Consider the following 25,167-nt stretch of genomic DNA (forward strand, 5'->3'; position numbering starts at 1 on the left):
AGCAATAGGAAGAAACTATAGATGGCATGATCAGTGGCCTAGGTTCTTCTCCATAAAGTCCTCCCAACGACAGCCTCTTATGGATCAATTGCTGTGCAGTGACTTAGACCCGGGAGGGCCAGCTGCTGACTCCAAAGCCTAAAGGGTCTCAGCTTCTCAAGAAGCCCCCTTCGGCCAGGCACGGTGGCTCATGCCATAATCCCAGCACTTTGGGAGGCCGAGGTGGGAGGATCACCTGAGGTCAGGAGTTCGAGACCAGCCTGGCTAACATGGTGAAACCCCGTTTCTACTAAAAATACAAAAAATTAGCCAGGGTGCTGGTGTGCACCTGTAATCCCAGCTACTCAGGGGGCTGAGACAGGAGAATCCCTTGAATCCGGGAGGCAGACGTTGCAGTGAGCCGAGATCACACCATTGCACTCCAGCTTGGGCAACAAGAGTGGAACTCCATCTCAAAAAAAAAAAAAAAGAAGAAGCCTACCCTGCAGGCTGTAGAGAGCTGATGGAAGTGTCCTGTGGCCCCTTGCAAGGGGAGCAGGAAGGGGAACATGCTAATTGAAACAAAAACAGATTACAGTCCCTTCTGCTTCTTAATGGATGGTAGACAGTGAAATTCATATCTATAAAAATAACCCTCTGCAGTCTCACTGGTACAGAGGCTGTGGGGATGGGAGAAGGAAAGCTGGACTCTTGAGCCCTGTCCTGCCCTGTCCTGCTGCTGAATGTCCTTGAGAGCCCACCCATGGGGACAGAGACAGTGCTCAGCCTCTGGACAAGCCCAGAGCAGGCAGGGGGAAAGGGAAACTACTCTTTATAATCAGTCCTGGGAAAGTGGGTTCCTGCAACCAGCTTCAGGGAGAGGGGAGGAGCTCAGCAGGGGGAGGGAGGAGAGAAAGAGAGACAGCAGATCTCAGCAGCTGATGGGCCACACCCCCTCTGGCACCCCGAAACTTCAGCAAAGGCTGTGGCCCACCCAGGATTGTGTGGGTGGGACCCGGGGAAGAAATGAATTAGGGTGCTGCCCCCATGGGGGGCATGGAGGTGGGAAAGAACCAGCCCACCCAAGGGGCCATGTGGAGAAACCCAATCTCCCCCCGCAGAACCTGCCCCCAGAGGCATTCGCATATGAAGGACTCTGGGCTTCCATCCTATTTGGAAATTTAAAAATTTTCAGCCATTTAAAAATACTGTATCTATGGCACTTACCAGCTGAGCCCCCCCAGGGTCCTGGACATCAGGGCCAGCATAGAAACAACCATAGGGATGGTGGGAACTTAAATCCAGGCTCCCTGGAGCTAGTTAGAATGACCTGGGGCTCAGGGCTGTTCAGTGGCACCAGATGCCATGTGCCCCTTCCTGGGTATCCCAGAAATCCCAGGGCCACTAAGCTGGGCTCAGCCCCCGCATTCACCAATGTCCCCTCTTTGGCCCTAGGATGGGAAGCTTGGGCACAAACCCACCTCTCTGCTGGCTTCAAATCCTTCCTGAATCTGTACAGAGGTGGAACCCACAGGGCCCCCAGGGCTGAGGGGCACCCCCAACATCCTAGGCCCTGAGAACTCTGAGGCAAGCTCGCAGCCGAGGCGGGGGAGCTGTGCAGACCTGGGGAGGAAACAGGGGGCAGGCATGCCAATCCTTCATCGTGGCAGCTGCAAGCCAGCGCTTGGGCACCCGTCACCTCTCATCTGCTGATGGCAACACTGGAGACCATAGAGGGCTCCTCCCTTGCCAAGGTCACCAGGCAGTAACCCCTGGGCTCAAGTCCTGCTCACAAAGCTGTGGATGGCAGAACCAGGACCTGGTGCAGAGGCTAGCCCCTGAGGATACTGATGGGGACAGCATCGCCTGCTGAACTTTGGTACACAGGTGAATACCTGGAAGATTTTTTTCTTCTCAGGTTTTTTTGGTTTGTTTGTTTGTTTTTTGAGGCAGGGTCTCACTCGCACCCAAGCTGGAGTGCAGTAGCGCAACCATGGCTCTCTGCAACCTCTGCCTCCCAGGCTCAAGTGATCCTCCCACCTCAGCCTCCCAAGTAGGTGGGTCTTCAGGGGCATGCCACCACGCCCAGCTAATTTTTGTATTTTTTTCAGAGATGCGGTTTTGCCCGTATTGCCTAGGCTGGTATCTAACTCCTGGACTCAAGCGATCCACCTGCCTCAGCCTCCCAAACTCCTGGGATTACAGGCCTGAGCCACCTCACTCGGCTGGATGCCCGGAAGTTTAAGCATAGCTGTAAACCATCCCAGCTCCTTTATTTCCCTGCTTGGCCGAAGATTGCTTTCTGTCATCCCAGTGAGCTGTGCCCTGTTTGTGGGAGAACCTGCCCTCAGGGATGGATGGAACCAGCCCAGCAACAACCCACCCCTCAGCCACTTCTAGAATCACCCAGGAAGGGCCTTCACAGCCAGGCTGATGTCCCCTCACTGAACACAAGGGCAACGGAGGCCAGGTGGGTAGCTATGCTGAGCTCATTCACATTCCTCGACCCCAGTAGAATCACAGTCATCGACAGCCCAGTGTGGATCCTAGGACGGGGCCTGGTAGACAAAGAGATGGCTGGGACTATGCAGCGTGCCTGGTCTCCCAGCGGAACACGTGATGCACCCATGCTGACACCTGCTGACACCTGAGCTCCACAAGACCCTGACATGAGCAGTGTGGCCTTGGGGGCGTGTGGCCTTGGGGGCATGTGGCCCATCTGTTAAAGGGGCTCCTGCCACTCTGTCCATCTCACTGGGTTACGGTGGGGATGCTCCTAGGGCCCGTCTGAAAAAGCAGTTTGGGAACTAGCAGGTGACACACAGTGCTGCTGGGCATCAGGCCACTTGCTCTGGACCAGCCTGGAAGCCAGGAACCTCATGTCTTGTCCCAGGCACCTCCCTGCACCCGTCCTCACTGCATCCTCAGCAGGACACAGAGAGAAGGGGCCTGGCCCCAGGAGTGTCCCAGCCTCATTGCATTTCCTGAGCTGGGCAGAAGGGACCCCTGTCTGTTGGCTTTGCTGGCTGCTCACCCCACAGGCTCCCCTGATGCTGAGGCCTCCCCTAAGCCGGTGTGGACACAGGAGGGATTGGTGGTGGGTAAAGCTGGGAAACTGCAGGAGCCCGGGGTGAGGGCAAGAGGGCTGGGCCTGCAGATCCCAGTTCCAACCAGGATCCCAGATCAGAGGGGCGGGGTGGGCCTCGGGGTATGGAGGGTCCCAGACACCAGGCCCCACCCAGGAGGGTGGCAGGAAGAGGACTGTTGTACTGCTCCAGCTGCCCAAGGGACACGTGTGTGCCCAGCTCAGGATGAAAGGTCTGGAAACGGCACCTCCATGGGGCCTGGGGTCCTCCAAGGAGCACGCTGTGAAGGAGCCCTTGACAGGCAGCTCTGAGCCGGGCTCGGTGCCCAGGACTGAGCCTCTGCAGTCTTCCCTGACACCTCGGAACCCAGTGTCAGCTGCCTGCAGACTGCGAGGAAGGGCCCCGCCCCATCCCGGACTGGCCACTCCCGTGGGTATCCTTCTCAGTTCCAGCCTCCTCCGCAGGGCCACGCATGGCTGTCCTGCCCAAGGCTCCAATAAGAAGGACTTTTTAAAGGTCTCTCAAGGCTGGGGACAGGGTGCAGGCAGGCGTTGTCTGAGCAGAATGACAAGAGCTGGGCTGGCAAGAGATTTGCCACTTCCATTCATGAGATGGGGATGGCCACACCGGGCGGTGCCCAGGGAGGGGTTAACCCCTCTAGGCCACCCCCAAAGGAAGAATAACAGACCTGGGAGGAAGGGCAGGTGCCTGCTGGTCCCCCTCAATTCAGACTCGGGATCCCTGAGTGGGGCTGCCCAGTAGGATAATCCCCCCACCCCTGCCGCCCCTCCATGATCAGGCAGGGCCAGCCGGCAGCCTCCAGCCTGGGCAGCACTCCCTGCCTCTGTCCACCCTCCTCATGCCAGGAGCCTACCATTCCTACCAGTCCTCTCCTTTCTGCACCCCAGAAGCCTGTCTCCACACTGGAGGAGAGGCTGAGATGTCCTGTGGGTCAGCCTCACCTCCATGTAAGTGTGGATCGCTATCCCCTTCTCCAGGGAGGCTGAGGCCAAGGGCCAGGCTAAGACAAGGCAGAAGTTTCTCCTACTTCAGACTTGCAGGGGTCATAAGCCCCAGCATCACCCTGGAATGCGGGTCACCAGGCCATGAGGCTGAACTAGGGGTGCCCCAGAACTGGGCAAGAAGCCCTGGGCGAGGCTTTGGGGGAGGGCGGCTGGGCCAGGGAAGTACTGTCGGTTGGTGGAAAAGATAGAAGAGTCCAGGAAGGCTGGACACAGGCGGCCAAGCCAGGGCGACCAGGAGACAAGAAGGTCCTCTCCAGGGTCCCGGTTGTGCTAAGTGCCCTAGCCTCCCTGCAGAGGGCTCTCTCCAGCTCCGCCTGCCCTGGGGACCCGTGAAGAGGCCAAGGCAACAGTGCAGTGATTTATTGACCAGACTTTGCAGCAAGAACACAGCGAAGGTGGGGCCCGTACAATCCAGCCTGGCAGAGGGTCTGGCCCCCTTAGAGCAGAATCTGGGGACCCCAGTATATTTCCCTCACAGCCCCCCAAAGTCCAGCCTCACCCTGCTCCAGGCCCCTCCTGAAGTGAGGGGCAGCAGGGGGACCGGGTCCTGGAGGGGCTGGAAGGCAGGTGGTGCCCAGAGCGGGGCTGGCACCGGGTGCATGCCTGCCCCGGTAGCCAGCAGGAGGTGATTCGTGCGGGGGCAGTGGGGGCGTGCAGGCGGGCAGCCAGGCTCACCACACGGAACACTTGTGGGCAGGGTTCATGGGTGAGTCCTTGGGACAGTGGAAAGCCCGGCCAAACTCCTCAAACTGGGACACACTGCCCAGCACCCTGGGGTGGGGAGAGACCCACACAGTGTTGGGCCCTGCAGCCACTCCAGCCCCAGCAACCAGGGGTGACTTTTATTCCTTCCCATGCCCCCTGATCCCACCCCAAACACAAGGAGTGGACAAGGCCAGGCGGGCAGGTGGGCATACCTGTAGTGCTCAGGGGCATGCTTGTCAGTCAGCACCTGCAGGTAGATGGACTGCGACCGCCGCTTGATGCACCAGTTCTGGGTCCAGGAGCGGGGTGGAGGGGAGGAGGGGGAGATGAAGCCAGGCATCCGCCCCCTTGCCCCCCACCCAGCACACAAGGCGGTAGGCCCCCTCAGCACCACAGGACCATCACCTCTGACGGGACAGGTGATGACAGACAGGCTGTCCATGCGAAGCCTGGGCAAGGCAGGACTGGGACTGACCCTGGATGCCGTGTCCCCACCCCAAGGCTCCCAGTCCAATCCCCCACCCAGCCCACCTGGGCAAAGGCAATGAAGAAGAGCTGGTCATGTGTGTACTTGAGCCGGGGAAGTGGGTGCTCTGGGCCGTGCTCCCGCACCCACTTCTGATAGGCCTGGGGACACAGAGAGCATGGACCTGCTATGCCCGCCCACCCTGGGCACCGCTTCTTCTCTGTCCTCCATCTAGGTAGCCCTCCCTGCTCTCCCTGTGAAGGGGGGCCCGTGAATCCTTCCTCTTCCAGTGGACCGTGGCCCCAGCACATGCCCTGCCCCACCCCAGGCCAGAGCTCAGCAGGGTGGGCAGGGAGAGGCAGCTCTGTCCCTCATCTGGAGTCCTCATCAGCCCCCGTCCCTCCTGCAGCAGGGGTGGAGCACAGGCAGGCCGCTCACGTGGTAGGCCAGCTTGAGGCCGCCCATATCTGCGATGTTCTCCCCAAGCGTGTGTTTCCCGTTCACCTGCCGGGAAGGGAAGAGGCCAGGGGGCTGCTTGGGGCCCAGCTGGCCTCCCTCAGGCATTGATACCCTGGGCCCCAGCCCCTAATTCCTACCACCCCTCTCCTTCCCTTGCCCAGAGAGTTTGAGGGGGGGCTCCAACCCTACTCTTTCCTCCCAACCCCCTTGTCCTCCGTAAGTCTGCGGACACTCATTATCTGTCCACGTGAGTGTGCGTGGGAACCGAATGTGTGTGCAGGGACCTGGGCACAGGTTTTGTTTGGACATGTGCACGTGCGCAAGGGTGTGCGTGATGCTCCCGGCCCGTGCCCCACCAGGCCTGAGGGGCACAAGGGGCAGGTGGGGGTCTCACCCGCTGGTTGTAGACAGTGAAGTTGTCATAGAGACGGACGATGCACTCAGCCTTTCGCAGGAAGCGGCTGTAGGAGGCCTCCGTCCACCAGTGCAGCAGGTTCCCTGAGCGGTCATACTGGCCCCCTGTGGGCAGTGCAGCAGGCTGAGACCCACCCTCACCTGAGCCCCCTCCCCTCCCCACCCACCAGCCCCAGTTAGGCCATCCCCTACCCTGCCTCTCCACTGCCTGTCCTGCCCCCTCCGGGCCATCCCCTGGGGCCCCAACAGGCCTCACCCCAGTCGTCGTAGCCGTGGGTCAGCTCATGTCCAATGATGGTGCCGATGCCCCCGTAGTTGAGAGACCTGGGCCCACAGCAGCAGCATCAGGCCCTAGCCCTCCACCCTCTGAGAGCCCCATGCTGCTGCCCAGGCCCCAGATGTCCCCTGGCCGGGCCAGGAGGTGGCACAGGGAGGCCACAGAGGCATCCGTGCGGTCCAGGGGCACATGTGCCTCAGCTTCCTCATGCGCTATGTGAATGCCAGTGGAACCTATCCAGCTTCTTTTAGGAAATCACATCTAACAGAGCTGGCTGGGCAGTGAAACAGGGCTGGAGGAGACAGGAGGGAAACGGAGGCACCTACGTAGGGGTTTCTCCTCCTACCTCATCATTAGTGTTGCGCCACCTTTGAAACATCAAAATGAGCCTCAAACAAGTAAAGAAGACCCCAGGAAGTTACAAATAACAAACCTACACATTTTTCTAAATAACCAAGGATGTAGTGGGGAGCCAGGGTCCACAGCTGTCCTGACTCCTGAACCCAGCTGGGTCTGGGGCGATTGGAGCCACAGTACGCCGACACACACCTGGTAGACAAGGTCTGCAATGCCAGCCCTGCCCTCAGCCACAAACAGGGCAAGCTATGTACTCACTGTGGGAAGTCAGGGTCGTACAGGGTGGGCTGCAGGATGCCCGCGGGGAACACTACAAGAAGGGGGTGCTCAGTGGGAAACCCATCCACTTTCGGACCCTGCCCCGCCCGGCGTAGGGACACATCCCCTTACCCATCTGGTTCTTGTTGGGTAGATAGTAGGCATTGAGCGCCTGTGGGGGGAGCAGCCACCTGTGGAGGGATGCTGGGGTGAATGGGGGGAACACACTCCCTCCCCCGCTACCCTCACATCACAGCTTCCTCGTCAGCCATCTCCTGACAGTCTGGGGGTCACCCTGCCGGCCCCCACCCCATGCCCTGTGCTGGCGTGTGTGCCCCCCATATCTGCATGGCTGTGAGACGATTTGCCCTACCAGCTCCTGCCCTTTCCCCACAACCCTTCCCTGACCCCCAGCTCTGGGCCAGGCACCCACGTGGACTTGTCCACCTCCTGCCGAATCTTCTTAACTGAGAGCTGGATGCTGAAGCGGATGCTGTTCAAGATGTTCTTGAAGTAGGTCTTCTCATGGACCTCAAACTGCAGGAGGCACGGGCGACACTCAGCGGCAGGCCAGGGCAGGGCTACCTGCAGACTGGGCAACAACCTGGCCGTGCAGGCCACCTGCCCTCCTGAGTGCCGTTAGTAGAGGGGCTGTGGACAGGCTGGGCAGGCAGGGTCAGGGCCCACCTCATACTCCTTGTCCACAGCATCGGGTTTCAGCAGGAAGTCCGGGTAGCCGACCATCACCATCATGTACTGGAGCTGCGGGCCGAGGGCAGGTGAAGGTGGCACCAGGCCTCGGGAGACAGCCCCCCGCCCCCCACCCTACCCACCAAGGAAGGGAGCACTAGGCCAGCCTGGGAGTGGGCTTCACAGTGGGGGAGGCAGGCCTGGTCAACTCCACGAAGGCCTCTTTGTCCCTTTTGTTCTCTTTCGCTGGTACACAGTAGGTGCTCAATATATATGGGACCAACCAATGACACTGGGTCCCCCCTCACCTTGGCCCGAGCAGCAGCCCTGGTCTCGGCGTCCATCCAGTCCAGCTCCTCCAGGCGCTGGCCCAGGATGTACTTGATGTCTTCCACTAGCTGCTGCACCTGCAGGGTCAGGGGTCAGGGAGCAAGGGTCAACCCAGCAGCCTGGTCTATCACTCCTGGCAGGAGGGGTACCCCTGCCTTTAAGCACCACTTTCTAAGCCCAAACCTCATTTCTGAACACCAAGAGGATACTTTGGAGGTGAGGATCCAGGCCCTGCACCCCCGAGGGCTCACAAGATAGAGGAGGAAACTGCCCCAGCAATGACCACAGACATCCCTAAGGCCACGCCTCCCGAGCATGCCTGAGAAGGTGGGCTGGGGCCTGGCAGGGAGGTCTGCCTGCAGTTGATAGTCCACATAAGCTTCCTGGAGGAGGAGGCCTGTGGAGGAGCAGCCTGGGGCCTCAGAATCGGCTGAGTACTTAGCAGGGCCTGGTCCCCCTGCCTGCAGGGGACATGTGGGGCTCCCCATATTAGGACCATGGCCTCGGGAGGGCTCCACCCTCAGTTCAGCACCATCCTCCTCTCTCAAACAAGGGCAACCCACCTTGGCTTTGCTGGCAGCTGAGAAGTGCTCATGTACAAAGAGGGCGCCAAGCGCCATGCCAAAGTGGCGATTGGCCTGGCCCAAGCAGACCCGGGCCAGCTCCTGTGGCTTGTCGCTGCCCTCCATCTCCTGTGCCAGCTCGTGCAGTGCCTCACGGAATGGCGGGGACAGGTGTTCACTCAGGACCACCACCACGCGCCACACCAGGTAGTTGTGCAGGACCCTGGGGACCAGGTGAAGCCAGTGGGTGTCCAGACGGACATGCATGTGGGCCACCAAGGGCACCACCCCTACCTGTGCCCGCCAACCTGTGGCTGGACCCAGGACCCAGACAGCCCCACAAAGAAGGGACAGGGGGTCATCCCAGCTATGCAGAGCAGAAAATGTAAAGCCCACCCAGCAGAGAGGTCCAGGGTGCAGGGGAAGGACCTAGTGACCGCTGGGCAGAAAATGCCAGATCTGCAGCCATACCGGTGGGGTGTGGAGCGGATGAGCTGCGACACCTGCTGCATGTAGTCTGTCGCCAGCAGCACCACCTCCTCTTCCTCTGAGAAGTCCTCCTGGAAGATCTGGTCTAGCAGCCACTTCCACCGCAACTGTGAGACCAAGGACAGGGACAGTGAGGCTAGGGTTGGCAGGGGCCACAGAAGACAGGGAGGGGGCAGAGAGAGGCAGCGAGGGGACATGAGAGTCCATGGCCAAGGAACGGTTTGCCCATCTCTGGGGAGAGATGACCCTGTAGTCCCAGCAGCAGCATTGCCCTCAACCCTGCCTGCCCACGAGGACTGGGCCACACTCACGTGGGGGGTGATCTTCTGCAGCTGCCCCAGCGTCACCTTGTTGTACATGGAGCTGACATCTCGCCGTAGGTCGTCATGCTCTGACACAGTGATCTGTGGGGAGAGATCACAGCTGACCCAGCCCTGCTCCATGATGCCCTCCCTCAAGCCCAGGGCAGCCTCCAGTCCTGGTCTGCTCACGTTGGCCAGCTGCTGCTCCACTTGCAGGATCTCTTGGGCCTTCTGTTCCACAGCGTCTGCACCCAGGAGGCTGAGCACTCGCTCCATGAACACCCTGTATGCTGCCAGGATCTGCACCAGGGGAGGGGGCTCACCCAGGGACAGGGACAGGCCTAGCCTGGATCCACCCCTCCTGGGGCCCCAGGCCTTCCCTGCCTCCCCATCCCATGCCCCAGCACCTTCTCACTGTCCTCATCCTGAGCGAGGTACAGGGTCCTCTCTGGCAGGGTGAGCCCATCCTGGTCAATCTGGGGAGGGAGACAGGGGCCACAGGTCAGAGGCCCACACCTCAGGTTCCCTAAACAGAGGGAATTCCCACTCCAATGCCCAGAGAGCAACCAGACATCCATGAGTACAGCCACAGAAGCACGCAGACCCCAGCTCCTCTTTCCACCCAGACGAGATGGCCAAAGCCCCATCCCTGACTGTCCCAGCCTGCGGATGCCCAATCTTACCCCTGTACGTCTGCACTTTCCTTATCTGTCCGGGGCATTCGTAGGTCCCCCACTGACAGTTGGGACCCCTAGCTTTGGGGCCAGCTCCAGACCTCGCGGAGACGTCAACCCAGCCCGCCGGCGCGCCTCTCCCTCCTGGCCCTCACTGCCTGCCAGAGGGCTGGGAAATTGCGGCTCCCGCGGCTCCTCTAAACACCGCAATTACCCCAGGGAAATTACTTGCGCCCTCCTCCCGCGCTCTGCCTCTGTGCGCTCCCCTCCCCTCCCCTCTCCTGCTCGTCTCTTCCCTCCTCTCCTCTCACGCACCCGCCTCCCGCGCGCAGGGACCCCTGGGCAAGGCCACTGCGCCCCGGATCCGCGGCCGCTGGCAGGGCGCTCAGGGGGCGCACTCACGCGGATGACGTAGCGCGAGGAGTTCCTGTCGTCCAGGCTGACCGTGAGCGAGAAGAGCGCGGCGGCGCTGTACACGCCCTGCGCCTTGTACAGCAGCCGGTTGAGGTCCCATCGCGCCGCGACCCCCGGACGCTCCTCCGCGCCGCCCAGGTCCCAGCCCCCGCAGTCCTCGATGACCTCTAGCATGGGTCGCGGGCCCAGTCGCTCGATCTCGCGCATGTCGAGGCACGAGCGGAAGAAGGCGCGCACCTTGCGCTGGGCCGCGCCGCCAGGCCCACCCCCGGGCCGCGCCAGCAGGCGCCGTAGGCGCTCCTCGTTTTGCTCGCCGATGGCCGCGATGGTGCCATAGGTGAGCTTGTCGTCGGGGATGGCGTGGCGCCGCAGCCAACCGCCGCAGGCGAACGAGTAGAAGTCCTGGCATGGGTCGATGCTGGCGTCCAGGTTGGCGGCCAGGAAGCGAGCGGCGCGCGCGAAGGCCTTGCGCTCAGGGCAGCCCTCGGGACAGGCGCCGCCGCCGGCCGCGACCGGGCCCAGGTACTTGAGGGCCAGCATAGCCGCCAGAATGGCGCAGAGGCCGGCGGCGAACACCAGCCCCGACAGCAGGCACACCTCGCGCCGGTTCCAGCGCGGCAGCCCGGACCGGGCCCCGGTGGCGCTGCGCGCAGCGCCCAACGGGAAGCCCGGGGGCAGGGAGGCCCCGCGCGCGCCCCCCGCGCCGCAGCGGCTCACGTACTTGACCTCTTGGAACTCATCGTAGTGCGCCGTCAGCGAATACGGGGGCTCCATGGCGCCGAGGCCGCCGCGGTGCAGACCTGGGCCACCTGGGCTACGGGATGCGCGTGGCCGCCGGCCTCCTCGTGGGCCTCCGCATGGCCCTGGGGCCGCAGCTGCGGGAAGGGCGGAAGCAGGCTCAGGAGGCGCCGCAGCCGGATGGGGCTCAGGGTCACCGCGAGGAGGGACACAGGCCTGGGTGCAGAGGCCCCAGCCGCGGGCCTCATTCACTGCGGAAACCAGGGACTATGAGGGTTCGGCGGGGCCACCACCCCCGGGTGCACAGTGGAGTCTTCCCCCCTGTCCCCTCCCTGCACACACTTGAGGGCCGCAGGGTTGGGAGGGCTCTTATTGGAAGCAAGAGGCGCCAGGCAAGGGGCCTGGCACGTAGTGGGCCTTCATTGAAAGGTCGTCCCTCTTCCCCTTCGCCTTTCTCTTCCACGACCTGCCCCAGCCAAGGCCGGGTGGAGTGGGGGAAGAAGCGGAGGCTGGAGTGAGGAGGTGCGGTCAGGGGCGCGTCTATGCGACACTTTCAGCTCTCCGCGCTGGACCCAGACAGACGCTCCGCAAAGCGGCCAAAGAACCAAACTTTGTCCTCGCGGAAGTCCGCGGGATCGACCACGCCAACCCCGCTCCCTGGCTCCTTCTGCTCGGTGGCCCGACGGCCCACTCGCCCCTTCCCTAGGGGCGCGCGCCAACGCCCCAGGGTGGCGGACACACAACCCACCCACTGGACGGCCCTGATGGAGAACCCGAGACGGGTTCCCTCCCCCCACTCCCACCATCTCTGTCCCCGCCCCGAGCCACTCCTGGCTTCAACAGGTTCTCCCCAGAACCCAAACTTGGGCGAAGTTTCACCCCCGGCGGGGAGCGAGCTGGCTGGCGACCCCCGAGCCCCGGCGCCGTGCGGCGCAGTCCGCGGAGCCCGAGAGCCGAGCCCGGGAGCCGCAGCCGCAGCCGCAGCCGGAGCCGCAGCCGAGAGGACGCAGACAAAGCCGGGAGGCTCCGCGCAGTGGCGGCGGCGGCGACGGAAGTGGCCGCGGTGGTGGCCTCAGCGGCAGGGACTCGGGCGCCACTTACCCGGCAGGTGCGCGCCCGAGCCGGCGGTGACCGAGCGGGTCGGGCCCGAGCGGGGGCCTGAGCCGCAGCGCAGCCGAGCGGGCGTCCGGTGTCTCCCAGCGCCCGCCGCCTCCTCTGCCGCCGCGCCGAGCCCGCCGCGCCGCCCGCCTGCCGGCCCGAGGGAGGGGGCGCGCCGGCGGCTCCACCCTCCTCCGCCCGCCCCGCGCGCCCCTCCTTCCTCCTGCATCTCTCGGGCCACCTGGCAGTGGGGCGGCAGCGCGGACGTGGGTCGGCGGCCGCGGAGACAGGCTCCCGGGGGTCGTGCGCGGGCTGCGGTCGGGGACTCCGGGTCCAGCCGCGTTCCGAGACGAGTGAGGGCAGCGAGTACTCCCGTGAAGGGTCCCCTCCGATCCAGTGTCCCCACTCCCAGCCGCCCACCAGCCGGCTGGAAAGGGGCTGGAGCTGGAGATGAGGAGCCGAGGACTCCTCCGAAGGGCTGGGGGCGGTGTCAGTAGTGCCTGTGTCTGCCGGCACAGTCCCTGGCGCAGAGCGCACCTTCACTAACCGGCTTTTTTGTCCTCCTTGGAACCCCTGCCCTGGATGGGCTCTCCACTAGGGCTTCTGGTTGGCCTCGCTCCCTTCACCTAGCCCCTGGTGAAGGGAGCTCAGCGGGGACTCCTGCAAGAAGAGGGCTTGCCGCCCCCTTCCCCATCCTCCCCAGCCTTGGGTGGCCCTGGCACCACGGCTCAGGGAGTCCCTGGCCCAGGTAGGAAGAAAAGGCCAAGAGAAGAATGAGCGAAGTCTCCCTGCTGGAGCCAGGGAAGGCTGGAGCCTGCCCCCTCTGGCCAGCAGCCCTAGGCCTCAGACAGGCCCTGAGCCTCAAGACCCTGGTATGTGGACTGATGGGAGGGCAGGCTGGGTGCAGGGACTCTGAATTTACTCACCGCCTGCCTTCTTCCAGGTAAACTGGCTTTTTAAATGTGGGGCCTCCCCACTGCCTGGAGGCAAAGCCCTCTTCTACCTGCCTGCCTGCCTTGGCCAGACAGCCTGGCCCTAATGGGACACAGAGAACTTGGGGCTCCTTGGAAGACTGATACTGTTTCTGGAGTCTCTGCTTTCTCTGCCCTACCCTGCCTCTGGTGTCTCTAGCAGGAGACCCCACAAAGCACCAGCCCTCCCAGGTCTGCCGGCTCCAGCCCGTAGGATTGGCTTAAACAATGTGTGAGAGCCATGGAGCACCATCTAATAAAAATCACAACAAGGTAGGGACTCTGATAACCTACCCATCATCCTGTTCTCCTCCTCAGGGTCTGTGCATCTGCCCAGCTCCTGAGCCCTGGCCCTGAGTGCCGGCCTCTGCCCCTGTCTTGCCTCTCCCTGCCTCTTCATCTCTCCATCTCTAAGCCCCCACTCCGGATACCCTGCCTCCATCTCTGGCCACCCCAGGGTTGTCCTCTGCCCCATGCATCCTTCTTGGGTCCTATTAATTCTAAAGAGGAAAAATGGAATTACTTATAATGTGGCGATTCCATGAAGGGGGGAGGGGAGGGCAGGGAGGTGGCAAAGTGGCTCTTTGTGCTTTTAATCTGCATTTTTCCCTCAATGTTCCCGTCTCCAGGAGGATAATTTTCCAGCCTTTTCAGGCCCTGATTGGTATCATTTCTCCAGCAAGGACAGCTTTTATTTTCCCCGAAATGAATGCCATGAAATTTCCAAGAAATGTAAAAATGGATATTGTCTCAGAGAGCCTCTTCCGACAGAAAGGCACAGAGGCAAACACGCTTCCCTAGGGACTCTTCTGCTCCAGTCCCGGGGGTGGGGTGGGGGGCAGCCCCCAGGCCCTCAGTCTCTCCTCCCTCCTTTTGCCCTCCCTCATCCCTTCCTCCTCCCTCCCGGGTCAGCTCTGGGACCCCCCTTCCAGCCACCCTCTCCCAGACTCAGCTGCTATTGGTCTGCTCATGGGCCTCCCGACTCCCTGCCGGGCGACCTGCCTGGCTCCACCTCACCTTTTCTTTTCACATCGCATCCCCCAGCCCCGGGCTGAGAGCAGCAACCAGGGCCTACAGGAGTTGACTTGGAATTGGGCCCTCTGACCCCTCAGTCCTGGCCACCCCACACAGACTGCCAATAAAGAGAAGTCAGAGGCCCACCTCCTTGACTCTCCGGCACCTTCTCTGTAAGGGAAGCTGGCACTGTAGGGGAGTAGGCACCAGTGGTCTGGCCTGTAGCTTGCTCACTCTTTTGGGGGATCTCTTCCTACCCCTAATTACCAAGATGACCCCATGACTCATGAGAAAGAGAATGACAGGCCACAGTGGTGCCCAGCTAAACCCAGCCAAGCCCTGAGTGAGGCAGCTGGGTGCCCAGCTTCAGGGAGCAGTTGGGTGCTGCCAGAGCTGCCTTGGAGAGAAAAGGCCCGAGGGGATGCAAGGGGGCAGAGATGAGGGGTTCAGAACCTGACTCTCTGTCTCCTCCTTGACCAAGGGTAGATCCCAGCAACTCTGCCGAACAGGGCATCACTTGGTTTGGGTTCTGGACATAGAGCCCTCCCTGAGGACAGTGTGCTGTCACCAGTAGCTTGCATCTGTTGCACGTTCACCATGTGGGCTGCTAAGTGCCCTGCTCTGAGGTGGGGCTGCCCACCTAACGCCGGGCCTGGTCCTGACTGGAGCCCATTTGTGGTCGGACCCGCCTCTCTCCTGCGGCCTGCACGTGGGTGGGGATGAACCCCTTGCCCTGCCTCGGTGTGCTGCAGCAGGGTGTCAGCTCCAGGACGAGCCCCGCCAGCCTCCACCCTGTCCAACCAGGCCCTACTCCTCCCCTGCAGATCTGTGGTATCTTCTGAGCCCTAAAAACACGCCTCCAGCCAGCTTCCTGTCCTCCACCCGGCCTCTCGGGGCTCATCCCATCTATTATTCACAGCACAAAATGGATTTTTAATTTGAGAAATGAAATGACTCTCCCAAGTGGCCGGGGTGGCAGGGAGGGGGTGGAGGAAGGCCGGAGCCGCCGTGGCCGCCACAGCCGCCACGGTGCTGACTCAGGTTCATCTTGGAAAGCTCGGGGCCCACAGCCGAACTGAGAGACCCCAAAGGCCCAGTACCCCACCACTCTGCCCCAGGCCTCCACTCCTCCCCATTGCTGTGACCAGGTGGGGTGACGGGTGCCCGTTGGTCCTGCCTGAGCCTCCAGTGGGGCCTACCTCTGGCAGGGCGGTCGGGGGGACAGCTGGATCTGTCCTCCACTGGCTTTCAGATTCCTGTGCCTCAAGGGCAGCCCTTGGGCTCCCTGGCCTGGCCTATCACCTCCCCACACCCCCCGGCCCTCCTGGCCTGGCTTCCTCCACCCTGTCCAGACCTCTGGCTGAGCTCCTTTGCTAGGTCCTGACCCCACACTAGGCCCACTCCGGCCTCGACTGCTGGCACTGGCCTCCGCTGCTGGACACCTGGCCTCCACTCCGGCCTCCACGGCAGAACCCCTCCTCACCCCTCACGGGGGAGCTCAGGCATCTTAGTGTGGCCCACAAGGCAGGGCCTCCTCCTGGCTCTTCTCTGTCTTTGTCCCTCTCTGCCTCCCCACCCCCATACCTCCCTCTTTCCTCTGGTTACTCTGATCTATTTCCATTTCCCAGAACATGGCTGGCTCTGTCATCCCTCAGGCCTTAGCACTTGCTGTTTCAGCTGCCTGGAACACCCTTCCCCCGTCCCCTCTTACGGTGGCCAATTGCCAACCATCCTTCAGGGCCACCTGGAAGTGGCCTCTCCCATCTGGTCAGGTGCTGCCTCCACAGGCCCCTACTCCACCGGATGCAAAGTCTCTCCTATGGCAGCCCCTGTTCTTCCCCTCCAGGTAGCCCGCGGCCCCTTCTGGAGCCCAGGACAGGGGACGCATATGATAAACTCAGGTGACGTCCGTGATCAGTTCATGGAGATGCCCTGCCTGAAGCATCTCTCAGCGCCAAGCCATACACCAGGCACAGCACCCAGGCAAACCTGCCCAGGCTCTCAGATCCTGAACACCTTTCCTTTGCTCTGGAACCCACCAGATGACAAAGTGGGGGCCACTTTTCCACCCTCCTGCACCCCTCCTCTCCACTCTGAACCCCGTGGTAGGCTTTGTCCTCGCCATGCATAGACTCCTCTTGGGGTCACCTCCCAACCTCTGGAGCAATGTTGTTTTTGTACAAGAAACATGTAAATATTCTCTTGTTTTAAAATATTGAAGCCACACAAGTTTGTAGAGGAGAAACATGAAAGTCCTCGTTCACGCAGCCTCAGCCCTCCCAAGGTAAGGCCAGGTAGGCTCTGCGACCACTGCAGGGGGAGCATCTAGGCCCACCTGGGTATCACTTTATTTTATCGTCTTTTTTGTTGTTGTTTTAGAGATGACGTCTCGTTGTGTTTCCCAGAGAGAGTGCAGTGGTGCAATCACACCTCCCTGCAGCCTGGATCTCCTACGCTCAAGTGATCCTCCCACCTTGGCCTCCAAAGTAGCTGGGACTACAGGTGTTCCTACCATGCCTGGCCAATTTTTTTTTATTGTGTAGAGACTGGAGTCTCGCTATGTTGCCCAGGCTTGTCTTGAACTCTGGGTGATCCGCCTACCTCGGCCTCTCAAAGTGCTGGGATTACAAGTGTGGGCCACTGTGCCCAGCCCTTACTGATTTATTTTTAATAAATAGGACACAATAGGATGGATGGTTGAGTGCCTCTCCTCCCCATGTGGCCTGTGCTAGTGTTTCCAAGCCAGAGGTCCTCGGGGTCACCCTCTGTGACTGAGGGATACTTAGGTTGTCTCACTCACCCCATCTGGTCTCCAAATCCTAAGGCCTTGGCCCAGAGTTTTGCCTCGCACTCTCCCTCTCTGCCCGCCCTGTCCCACCTTCCCTGCCTCCTGCCCTTCCTCCATCCCCTGGATGCTGTGCCCAGGTGTTTGGCTCTGGTCCCAGGTCCCACCCACACCCGCTGGCGCTGGAAACTCACTGCACTCCAAACCCAGCCTTGGAAAGACTTCTCACCTCCTCCTCTCATTCTTATCCCTTTCCTGTCTCCAGCTCTGGCCCCTCCTCCTCCCTTTCTTAGTGGAGAAGGGGGTCTCTCCCTCCTTGCCTACCTGGGTGCTGCTGCAGTTCTGCCTGTTCCCAGCCACAGCCTCGGTGTAGCCATGGCCACTGTGGCTTCTGAGGCCTCCTGGGTGTGGTCCCCTCATGCTCCCCTGAGTGTCCCTCCTCTACCAGCATGGCATACTCATAGCACAGCCTTTGTTCGAGCTGTCCCCTCTGCCCAACTTCTGTGTCCCCAGACCTGTGTCCCTCCTTTAGGTCCATCTCAAGCTTCCAGGATCCCCCTGACAGGCCCCCACCTGAGGAAGCTGCCCAAGGGCCCCTGGCACGGAGGGATGCATGCCCCCCAGTGCCCAGCCCGGAGCCTGGCACGTGACCCCAGAGCAGGGGTGCCCAGAGCCTGGGCCAGGCTGAATGGAACAAGGCCCCAGCTCCAACCTGGACAGGCCTGTCGCCAACTGTGGGTGGAACAGCCACTGTCACATGCGGAGCGGCTCCCAAGCGCCATGCTCTGCGCCAAGACCTCTATCCCCTCCACACTGAACCTCACGCTGAGTAAGCCCACGAGGGAGCCCTGTCGTTGTCCCCAGTTTACAGAGGAAGAAACTGGGGTGCATAGAAGGAAAGGAAGATGCCCAGGTTCACGCAGAGACTCAGTACTGAAACGGAGGCTTGACCCTGTGTCTGCTGCATTCAGAGTCACAGGGCCATGCACACTGCGAGCTGGGAGATGGAAGAACAGCTCTGCAGAGGGCAGCAGGGCACTCAGGAACCCAAGTGACGGCAGCTCGGAGCCAGGGTCCCAGCCTGGGACCTCAGGCCCAGAAACTGCGTTGGAGGTGCCAAAGGTGGCTTTGCTCAGCGACCTCAGGAGGCATCTCAGGGCGTGCAGCCGGGACCTTGGCCTCCGTTCCGATGTCGCCACCTCCACAGGCCCCTCCTGGATTTCCCTATCTGAAGAGGCCAAGCCATTTTCTGTCTGTGGCACTGGGTACATCCCATACCGCATTTGTCCCTACCTGACGTTATCTTGTGACTCGCTATTTTCACGACAGCCTCTCTTCCTCAGCTCTGCTGGAACCCTAGATTTTCCTATTGCCTTGTCCTTCCTACCCAACCTTTAAGTGGCAAGGCCTTGGCCACAAGGCAGGGAGTCAGGAGTGGGGGCCAGATTTGCAGTCAAAGTCGGATGGTGGCTATGGGGGACAGGAAGGAGGGGGCAGTGGAGAGTCTCCGGCCAGTGGTCTCTAGCCCTGACAAGCAGGTCCCTTGGGCTCCCCATCTGATGGACAGGCCACGACAGGAGCTCAGCTCCTGCTGCAAGAGGGATGCAAATGAGGCTGTGGGGGCTGGGGACACCCCTTCCTGTCAGGGTCTCCATGGCACATTGCCTGGGACTGCAAGGAAGGGCGAGCCTGGGACAGGCAGAGAAGCCTGAATGGCCTGGAGGGCCACTTCCTTGGCTGCCAGGGTCCTGGGCCTGCAGTCCCCTCCCCCAGCACTCCATCATCATTTCAAGTGATTGGAGCTGAAGGGGATCGTTAGCTAATTAAAGCTGAGGCCACTAATTGTCCCTTTTGAAGAGAGAGCAGGGCTGTGCAGGGGAGGAGACAGAGGGTCTGGGGAGGGGGATATTGGCAGGCGGGGGGCTGGGAACAGGGCCATGGCCCCTTGTGGGGCCTTCTTCCAGACTGTGTGTTTGAGGGGTCAGGCATTGTCAGAAGCTCCTTAAAGTGGGTAAAGGACTAGAGAAGCAGATTTGGCGCTCCCGTGATTCACCCTGCATCACTGTGAATATCAGTGCCCACCTCTGCCCCACCTCTACCCACTGCCACCCACCCTGGGGCTGTGGGCTGGACAGCACATGGCGAGGCCTCCCACAGGCCTCCTCCTCTGTTGTGTTGATAGGTCAGATTGGAGGACGGGCAACTGGGTACAAGGTTCCCCCAACTCCAGCACGGCCCGGAGCAGGAAGCCTGGGTGGCAAGTTTCTGCCTTCCCTTCCACCTGTGACAGCCTCTTGGGGAGGTGCTCAGGCCTGCCAGGAGTAGCCAGCTGCAAGGTGCATATCCACATGTCACCGGAGAGTGCCAGCTATGCCTGGGGCTGCCCCTCAGCCTGGCACCAAGCTCCCCTCTTGGCAAGAGGTCCCAGAGCCTGTGACAGAACTACCAAAGAGGGTTATTAGTTTTGTATTGCTGCAAAACAAAGTAGCACAAACATAGCTACTTACAACAGCACCCTTTTATGACCTCACAGTTTCTGTAGTCAGTGGTCCAGGCACGGCATGCGATTCTCTGCCCATGGCCCCACTGCGCCAAATCGAGATGTCGGCTGGGGATACGGCGCTCATCTGGGGTTCAGGGGCCTCCTCTAAGCTCAGGGTTTGTGGCAGAATTCAGTTCCTTGAAGTGCTAGAATCAAGGTGTCCACTTTGGGGTTCTGCTGTCAGCTCCCAGAGGCCCCCTCCATTTCCACAGCCAGCAATGGAGAATTCCCTCCAGTGGAGTCTTCCACTTGCTTCAAGTTTCTGTTTTCCTCACACTGACCAGCCCGGGAAACTCTCTGCTTTTATTTATTTATTTTTTAAGAGACGGGGTCTCACTGTATTGTTCAGGCTGGTCTCAAAACTCCTGGGCTCAAGCAATCCTCCCACCTTGGCCTCCCAAACTGCTAGGATTACAGGCATGAGCCACTGCACTTGGCAAAACTCTCTGATTTTGAAGGGCTCATGTGCTTAGGTCGGGCCCACCCCAATAATCTCCTTACCTGAAGGTCAAGTCTTTTGGAACCTTAATCACATCTGCAAAATCCCTGCACACCAGTCCCCAGATTTGTGTTCAGTTGAATAGCGGTGGGATGCGCATGTGTACACCGGGGGCCGGGAATCTTGGGGGCATCTTAGGAGTCTGCCTACCACAATGATGTGGGTCAGAGAACAAAGACAGCGCTGAGGATAGAAGCAGCTGACTTCCAGGCCAGGCCCTGGGCATTAGTGCTGAATTATCTCATTCACTCCTCAGGACAATCCTAGGAGCAGGTGCTACTATTATCCCATTTTACAGGGGAAGCAGCTGAGGCCCTGAGAGATTAAGTGACTTTCACAGTCACACAGCCGGTAAATGACCACACTGAGAGATTAGGGGTATGTGGGGTCTGATCCAGACCCGGCTGTGTGTTCTTAGGAAAGTCATGTACCTGCTCTGGGCCTCTGGGAAATGGATGCTGAGGTCTGTTCCCCATAGACAAGTGGGTGAGACTTGGGGCCATGTTGCAGGGACTCAGCAGTCTAATCTGTGCCCCCACCACAGGTAGCTGGCATCTGTGACACCCAATGAGCTGGGGTCCCTGCTGTCAGCTGTCCATTCACTGCCAGTCTGACTTCTTTTTTTTTTTTTTTTTTTTGAGACAGAGTCTCACTCTTGTCGCCCAGGCTGGCTGCAGTGGTGGGATCTAGGCTCACTGCAACCTCTGCCTCCCGGGTTCATGCGATTCTTCTGCCTTGGCCTCCCGAGTAGCTGGGATTACAGGCACCCGCCACCACGCCCGGCTAATTTTTGTACTTTCAGTAGAGATGGGGTTTCACCATGTTGGCCAGGATGGTCTCAAACTCTTGACCTCAGGTGATCCACCCTCCTCGGCCTCCCAAAGTGCTGGGATTGCAGGCGTGAGCCACCTCACCTGGCCCAGTCTGACCTCTACAACCCAGTGATGATACTCCCTAACATTGAGGCTGGGAGGCTCCACAGTACAGGAACCCCAAGATTAATGGCCAGGAAACTGCTGCTCCTCCATGGGGGCTGGGCCCCTAGACAACTGAGTGGAGGCTTGCAGACCTTTGCCCGGGGGTGGTCGTGCGTGTCTGTGGGGCGGGTCCCTCCTACCCCTGGGGCCTGGCTCTCCCCACTCATCTGGCTGCAGCTCTGGAAGGTAGGGGACTGCAGAGGTGTCAGTGGCTGCCCACTCCCCCTCCCATGAGAAAGGCTGTCAGCGCCCCATAGGCGGCCTCCCCCCCAGCCTCCACCCCCATGCTTCAGCGGCCTCCCTCAGTAATGGGGCTTTATCATAGCATGCATTAGCTAAGGCCTGCTGCCTGCAATTATCCCTTCAATCAGCCACCCACCACCCACCGCCCCCAGCCTCAGGCCACCCACGGGGCCACCTCACCCGCCCTCCCTGCCCCATCCCCAAGTACAGCACAGGTGCCCAAGTCTCTGCAGATGGACAGAGCAGTGACCCCTGGCAGCAGGCGCCTGGGGCAGGGGCAGCCAGCGGACAGAGAGCTACTGCTCAGGGTCACAGGCAATTATTTTAAAAGCCTGTTGCAGGAGAATGCGCTGCCTGTCCAGCACAACCTGCTCATCCTGAGGGTTGCACCGCCCCAGGTTGCTGCCAGGCTCACGTGCACACACGGGTGTTCACACGTGCCAGTCATGCACACAGGGACGGGCACTGCCAGGGCACACGTGGTGTGGATGCAGAGCCCTGTGGTCTGCACGCAGACCCCAGAGAGATGGGGTCCTGGCCACCCTCGAGGTCTGCGCAGAAGGAGGCCCCACTTGCCCAAGCAGCCCTCATCATTTGGGGGCTTTCCCTACAGCCCCTGGCACCCTCCCACCCCCATCCCCAGCACAGACCACCTCCTGACCTTTGACTCGCCCACCCCACGCCTGGGGTACAGGGACGGGGGCCTGAGCTGAATGGGAGGACTTCCTGTCACATCCAGCCTCACGCTGGGGTTGCGAGGAGAAATAGGCGAGAAGGCGGACCTGGCTGGGGGAGTGGAGGAGGGGACCGCTGTTGTGCTGTGATTCTCTCTAATTGCTGTTTTGCTGAGAGGTAATTAAAAATCTCTTTTTATTTCACACGTCAGAGCCTTCGCTAGCCTGTGGAGAGGGCGCAGGGGGAGGCTGGGGGGTGGGGGCAGTGGAGAGCCGGCGCATGGAGGGGTCAGGGAGGTGAAGCATCTGAGCCCAGCCTGCCTGCCAGGAGCCCCCAGCCCTGCCCGGGCCTGGCCTATGACCATCCCGGGTGCAGCCCAGGCCAGGGGTCTATGCAGCCCATCAAAGCCAATGAAGGTCATGATAATGAAGTCAGTCAGCAATGTCTCTGGGGTGCCTCCCAGGTGCAGGTGTTCTGCTGACTGCCCAACCTGTGAAAAATACAATCATGACCCTATGTGTCGGGACAGAGATAAAGCTGAGACTTGGGGAGATTACGAAACAGCCAGGGTTTCTTAACCTATGGCTCTTCAGTGGTGGAACTGGATGTGAACAGGTCTGACTCCAAACTCGGAAGCACCGCAGCCGCCTGCCCATCCAGCCCACATAACTGTCTCCTCCTGTGGACCCCACTTGAGGTCCACAGCCCTACCCTGACCCTCCTCAGAGCCCATGGGATGGGCCACAGCCTTGGGACTCCTGCTCAAGACCCATGCACCAGTCCATGCCTGCCACTCTGGACCCCATGATCACCTGCTGACAGGTCCTTTGGGTCTGGAGAACCGGGACTCACATCGGCCACCAGGACTTGTGGATGCTTCCCAAAGACCTGGGAAGGCCAGGGGGCCATGGCGAGACCAGAGCCCCGACCAATGCCCAGCCAGGGTCAGGCAGGAAAGAAGAGAAACCTCTGCCTTCTCCTGGGCTGGCTGGAGGCAAGGGGGTTAACAGTAGGTGGGGTAGGCACAGGATCCACAGAGAAGCACCCTTTGGCTTCATACCCCTGCATCACCAAGCTTCCTATGTGCCTTGCTATCTTTCTTCACTAGACCTGAATTGCAGCACCCCATCCTTGTCATCCTCCCCTTTTCTACCACCATCAGCACCATCACCTTATCTAGATCATCCTTTTCGCCTAATTCCCCAACATCATCACCACCTCCATCATCATCATCATCATCATCATCCCTTTCAACAAAACCGTCACCACCATCATCGCCATCAGGACTCACCTTGTACCAGCACTGTTGCATCTCACTGAATCCTTGCAACACCTACCAAGGGGCAGGTACCATTATTATCCTCCCACTTTGCAGGGTGAGGAGACCATAGCTTACAATGAAGGGGCTTTTCCAAAGTCATGACCAGGAAGTGTCAGAGGTAGGACTTGAACCTAAACTGCTTGACATCAGAGCCCAAAGTCATAACCGCTATACTTTACCACAGTCCATCAAGGGGTTCTAAGGAATCAAGCTGGGGGAGGGGGGCAAGGGGGAAGGAAAGTGGGGGAGAGCAACTTGCCACTTGGACTACTCAGGAGCAGCAGCATCAGAGGCAGGCCCTCCCTGCAGCCAGCCTGTGCTCCACCCCCACTGGTGCATGGCAGTTGTGCCCAAGCCTCCCTGGCTGAGCTTTCTACCCTGCAGAGTTGCATAGAGGGGATGTTAAAAGGGACTGTGTTGACTTGAGAAGCTGAATCCTAGTTTTGTCTCCAGTCAGATGGAGGCCAGCTTGCCCCACCTCCCTCAACATCCCCTCACTTCTGGGCCACGGCTGGCTCTGGGGGCGCTCATTCACCTCTCGTGGGTGGCGGCCAGGCTGAGGATGGACAGTGTGTTCGTTTGGGCTGCTACAGCAAACACGACGGGCTGGGTGGCTTCAACAGGGCGCGTGTATCCTCACAGTCCTGGCGGCTGGGTGTCTGAGACCAGGGTGCCAGCACGGCTGGCTTCCGCTGGGGGCCTCCTGGTTTGCAGATGTTGTCCCCTGGTTGTCTCCTCCCACGGCAGAGAGCAGAGGGAGGAAGCATGTTCTCTCCCATCTCTTCTTAGAAGGGCACACATCCCATCATGAGGGATCCACCCTCATGGCCTAATCACCTCCCAGAGGCCCCAACTCCAGAGGCCATCCCACTAGGAATTAGGGCTTCAACACAGGAATTTGGGGGACACTAATATGCAGTCCACAATAGACAGTGAGGCCAGGGCCACGCGGCAGCCCAGCCGGACCCTTGGTGGTGTCTCAGGACAGGTTATGGCCAAGAGAAGGCTCTTTCCTCAGCCTGCCAGCCTCCCTCTCTTCAGCCTTCCTTGTCCCCAGCCACAGCCCAGGGCATTGGCCTTGAAGTATTGTTCCCCTAGGGTGGTTGGAGTGGGCAGCCATATCCCCAGACACGAGCCATCTGATGGGGGTGCTGAGGTGGGAAATGGGGGCCCGGGGGACTGCAGAGTAAGAATTGGGGGTCCCTACTACCCATCTGATGGGGGTGCTGGGGTGGGAAATGGGGGCCCGGGGGACTGCAGAGTAAGAATTGGGGGCCCTGAGGCCCACTGGCAGGTGCTCACCTCTTACAGGCAGGGATGAGGACCCATGTGTGCAGGCAGCTGGGTGGACTGACTCAGAGTTAAGCAGATCCGGGAAGCAAGGGACAGAGGGAGAGGGGAAGAGGCGAGGACTGCCGAGCAGCCCTGAGAGGAGAAGCCGGGGCTTCCTGGGGCTGCAGGAGTGGGGTAGGGGCTGTCTCAGCTGTGTGCAGCAGCGTGGGCCTGGGGGTAGGGAAGGAGCTCGTCCATCTCTGCATCCCCAGTGCATAGCGCTGGCACTAGGAGGTACTTCATATGTATGGAAGGAAAGAATGAATAAACACATTCTCAGGATTCAAACTGTTCTGATAGGACATGACACCCATGGAGGTGCTCCCCATCATTGAAGCAAAAGGGTTGAAAGCCCAGGCTCTGAAGTCAGAGTGATCTGGATTCAATCCCAGCGCCACCCTCCACTAGCTGTGGACAGGTTACTTAGCCTCTTTAGGCCTCAATTCCTTTGCCCCAAAATAGGGACAGTAATATCTACCCAGGC

The 25,167-nt window shown here is 60.4% G+C and overlaps 1 protein-coding gene and 1 long non-coding RNA gene across 3 annotated transcripts, besides 5 other annotated features; one reads left to right on the forward strand and one right to left on the reverse strand.

The window, feature by feature from the left end:
- Positions 1,560-2,059: an enhancer, noted in NCBI's record as "H3K27ac hESC enhancer chr2:233341661-233342160 (GRCh37/hg19 assembly coordinates)". NCBI's record gives its function as "activates a minimal SCP1, AML or CMV promoter by ChIP-STARR-seq in naive H9 embryonic stem cells {active_cell/tissue: H9 hESC(naive)}" and the evidence as "EXISTENCE:reporter gene assay evidence [ECO:0000049][PMID:30033119]".
- On the reverse strand, positions 4,436-12,443 carry ECEL1 (endothelin converting enzyme like 1). Of its 2 annotated transcripts, none has more exons than NM_001290787.2 (18): positions 12,328-12,443; positions 10,477-11,363; positions 9,808-9,876; positions 9,590-9,700; positions 9,410-9,502; positions 9,081-9,205; positions 8,610-8,832; positions 8,025-8,123; positions 7,714-7,788; positions 7,466-7,563; positions 7,159-7,217; positions 7,027-7,078; positions 6,391-6,458; positions 6,115-6,239; positions 5,700-5,765; positions 5,327-5,422; positions 5,008-5,084; positions 4,436-4,861 (listed from the first exon to the last, which is right to left on the reverse strand). In NM_001290787.2, the coding sequence occupies exons 2-18, from the start codon at positions 11,260-11,262 to the stop codon at positions 4,762-4,764; spliced, it is 2,322 nt and encodes a 773-aa protein (NP_001277716.1). In that variant the 5' UTR covers positions 11,263-11,363; positions 12,328-12,443; the 3' UTR covers positions 4,436-4,761. The 2 variants fall into 2 exon arrangements, with proteins under 2 accessions (NP_001277716.1, NP_004817.2); NM_004826.4 differs by having other exon boundaries at positions 7,460-7,563.
- Positions 10,490-11,097: an enhancer, noted in NCBI's record as "H3K27ac-H3K4me1 hESC enhancer chr2:233350591-233351198 (GRCh37/hg19 assembly coordinates)". NCBI's record gives its function as "activates a minimal SCP1, AML or CMV promoter by ChIP-STARR-seq in naive H9 embryonic stem cells {active_cell/tissue: H9 hESC(naive)}" and the evidence as "EXISTENCE:reporter gene assay evidence [ECO:0000049][PMID:30033119]".
- LOC124906124 (uncharacterized) lies at positions 12,552-16,999 on the forward strand. The gene is made up of 3 exons (XR_007088123.1): positions 12,552-13,568; positions 13,925-16,593; positions 16,689-16,999. It is a non-coding gene; the product is annotated as an uncharacterized LOC124906124 (long non-coding RNA).
- Positions 17,276-18,096: an enhancer, noted in NCBI's record as "H3K4me1 hESC enhancer chr2:233357377-233358197 (GRCh37/hg19 assembly coordinates)". NCBI's record gives its function as "activates a minimal SCP1, AML or CMV promoter by ChIP-STARR-seq in primed H9 embryonic stem cells {active_cell/tissue: H9 hESC(primed)}" and the evidence as "EXISTENCE:reporter gene assay evidence [ECO:0000049][PMID:30033119]".
- Positions 18,097-18,916: an enhancer, noted in NCBI's record as "H3K4me1 hESC enhancer chr2:233358198-233359017 (GRCh37/hg19 assembly coordinates)". NCBI's record gives its function as "activates a minimal SCP1, AML or CMV promoter by ChIP-STARR-seq in primed H9 embryonic stem cells {active_cell/tissue: H9 hESC(primed)}" and the evidence as "EXISTENCE:reporter gene assay evidence [ECO:0000049][PMID:30033119]".
- Positions 21,585-22,390: an enhancer, noted in NCBI's record as "H3K27ac-H3K4me1 hESC enhancer chr2:233361686-233362491 (GRCh37/hg19 assembly coordinates)". NCBI's record gives its function as "activates a minimal SCP1, AML or CMV promoter by ChIP-STARR-seq in naive H9 embryonic stem cells {active_cell/tissue: H9 hESC(naive)}" and the evidence as "EXISTENCE:reporter gene assay evidence [ECO:0000049][PMID:30033119]".

The sequence above is a fragment of the Homo sapiens genome, chromosome 2, assembly GCF_000001405.40.
Source record: "Homo sapiens chromosome 2, GRCh38.p14 Primary Assembly".
NCBI classification, from domain to species: domain Eukaryota; kingdom Metazoa; phylum Chordata; class Mammalia; order Primates; family Hominidae; genus Homo; species Homo sapiens.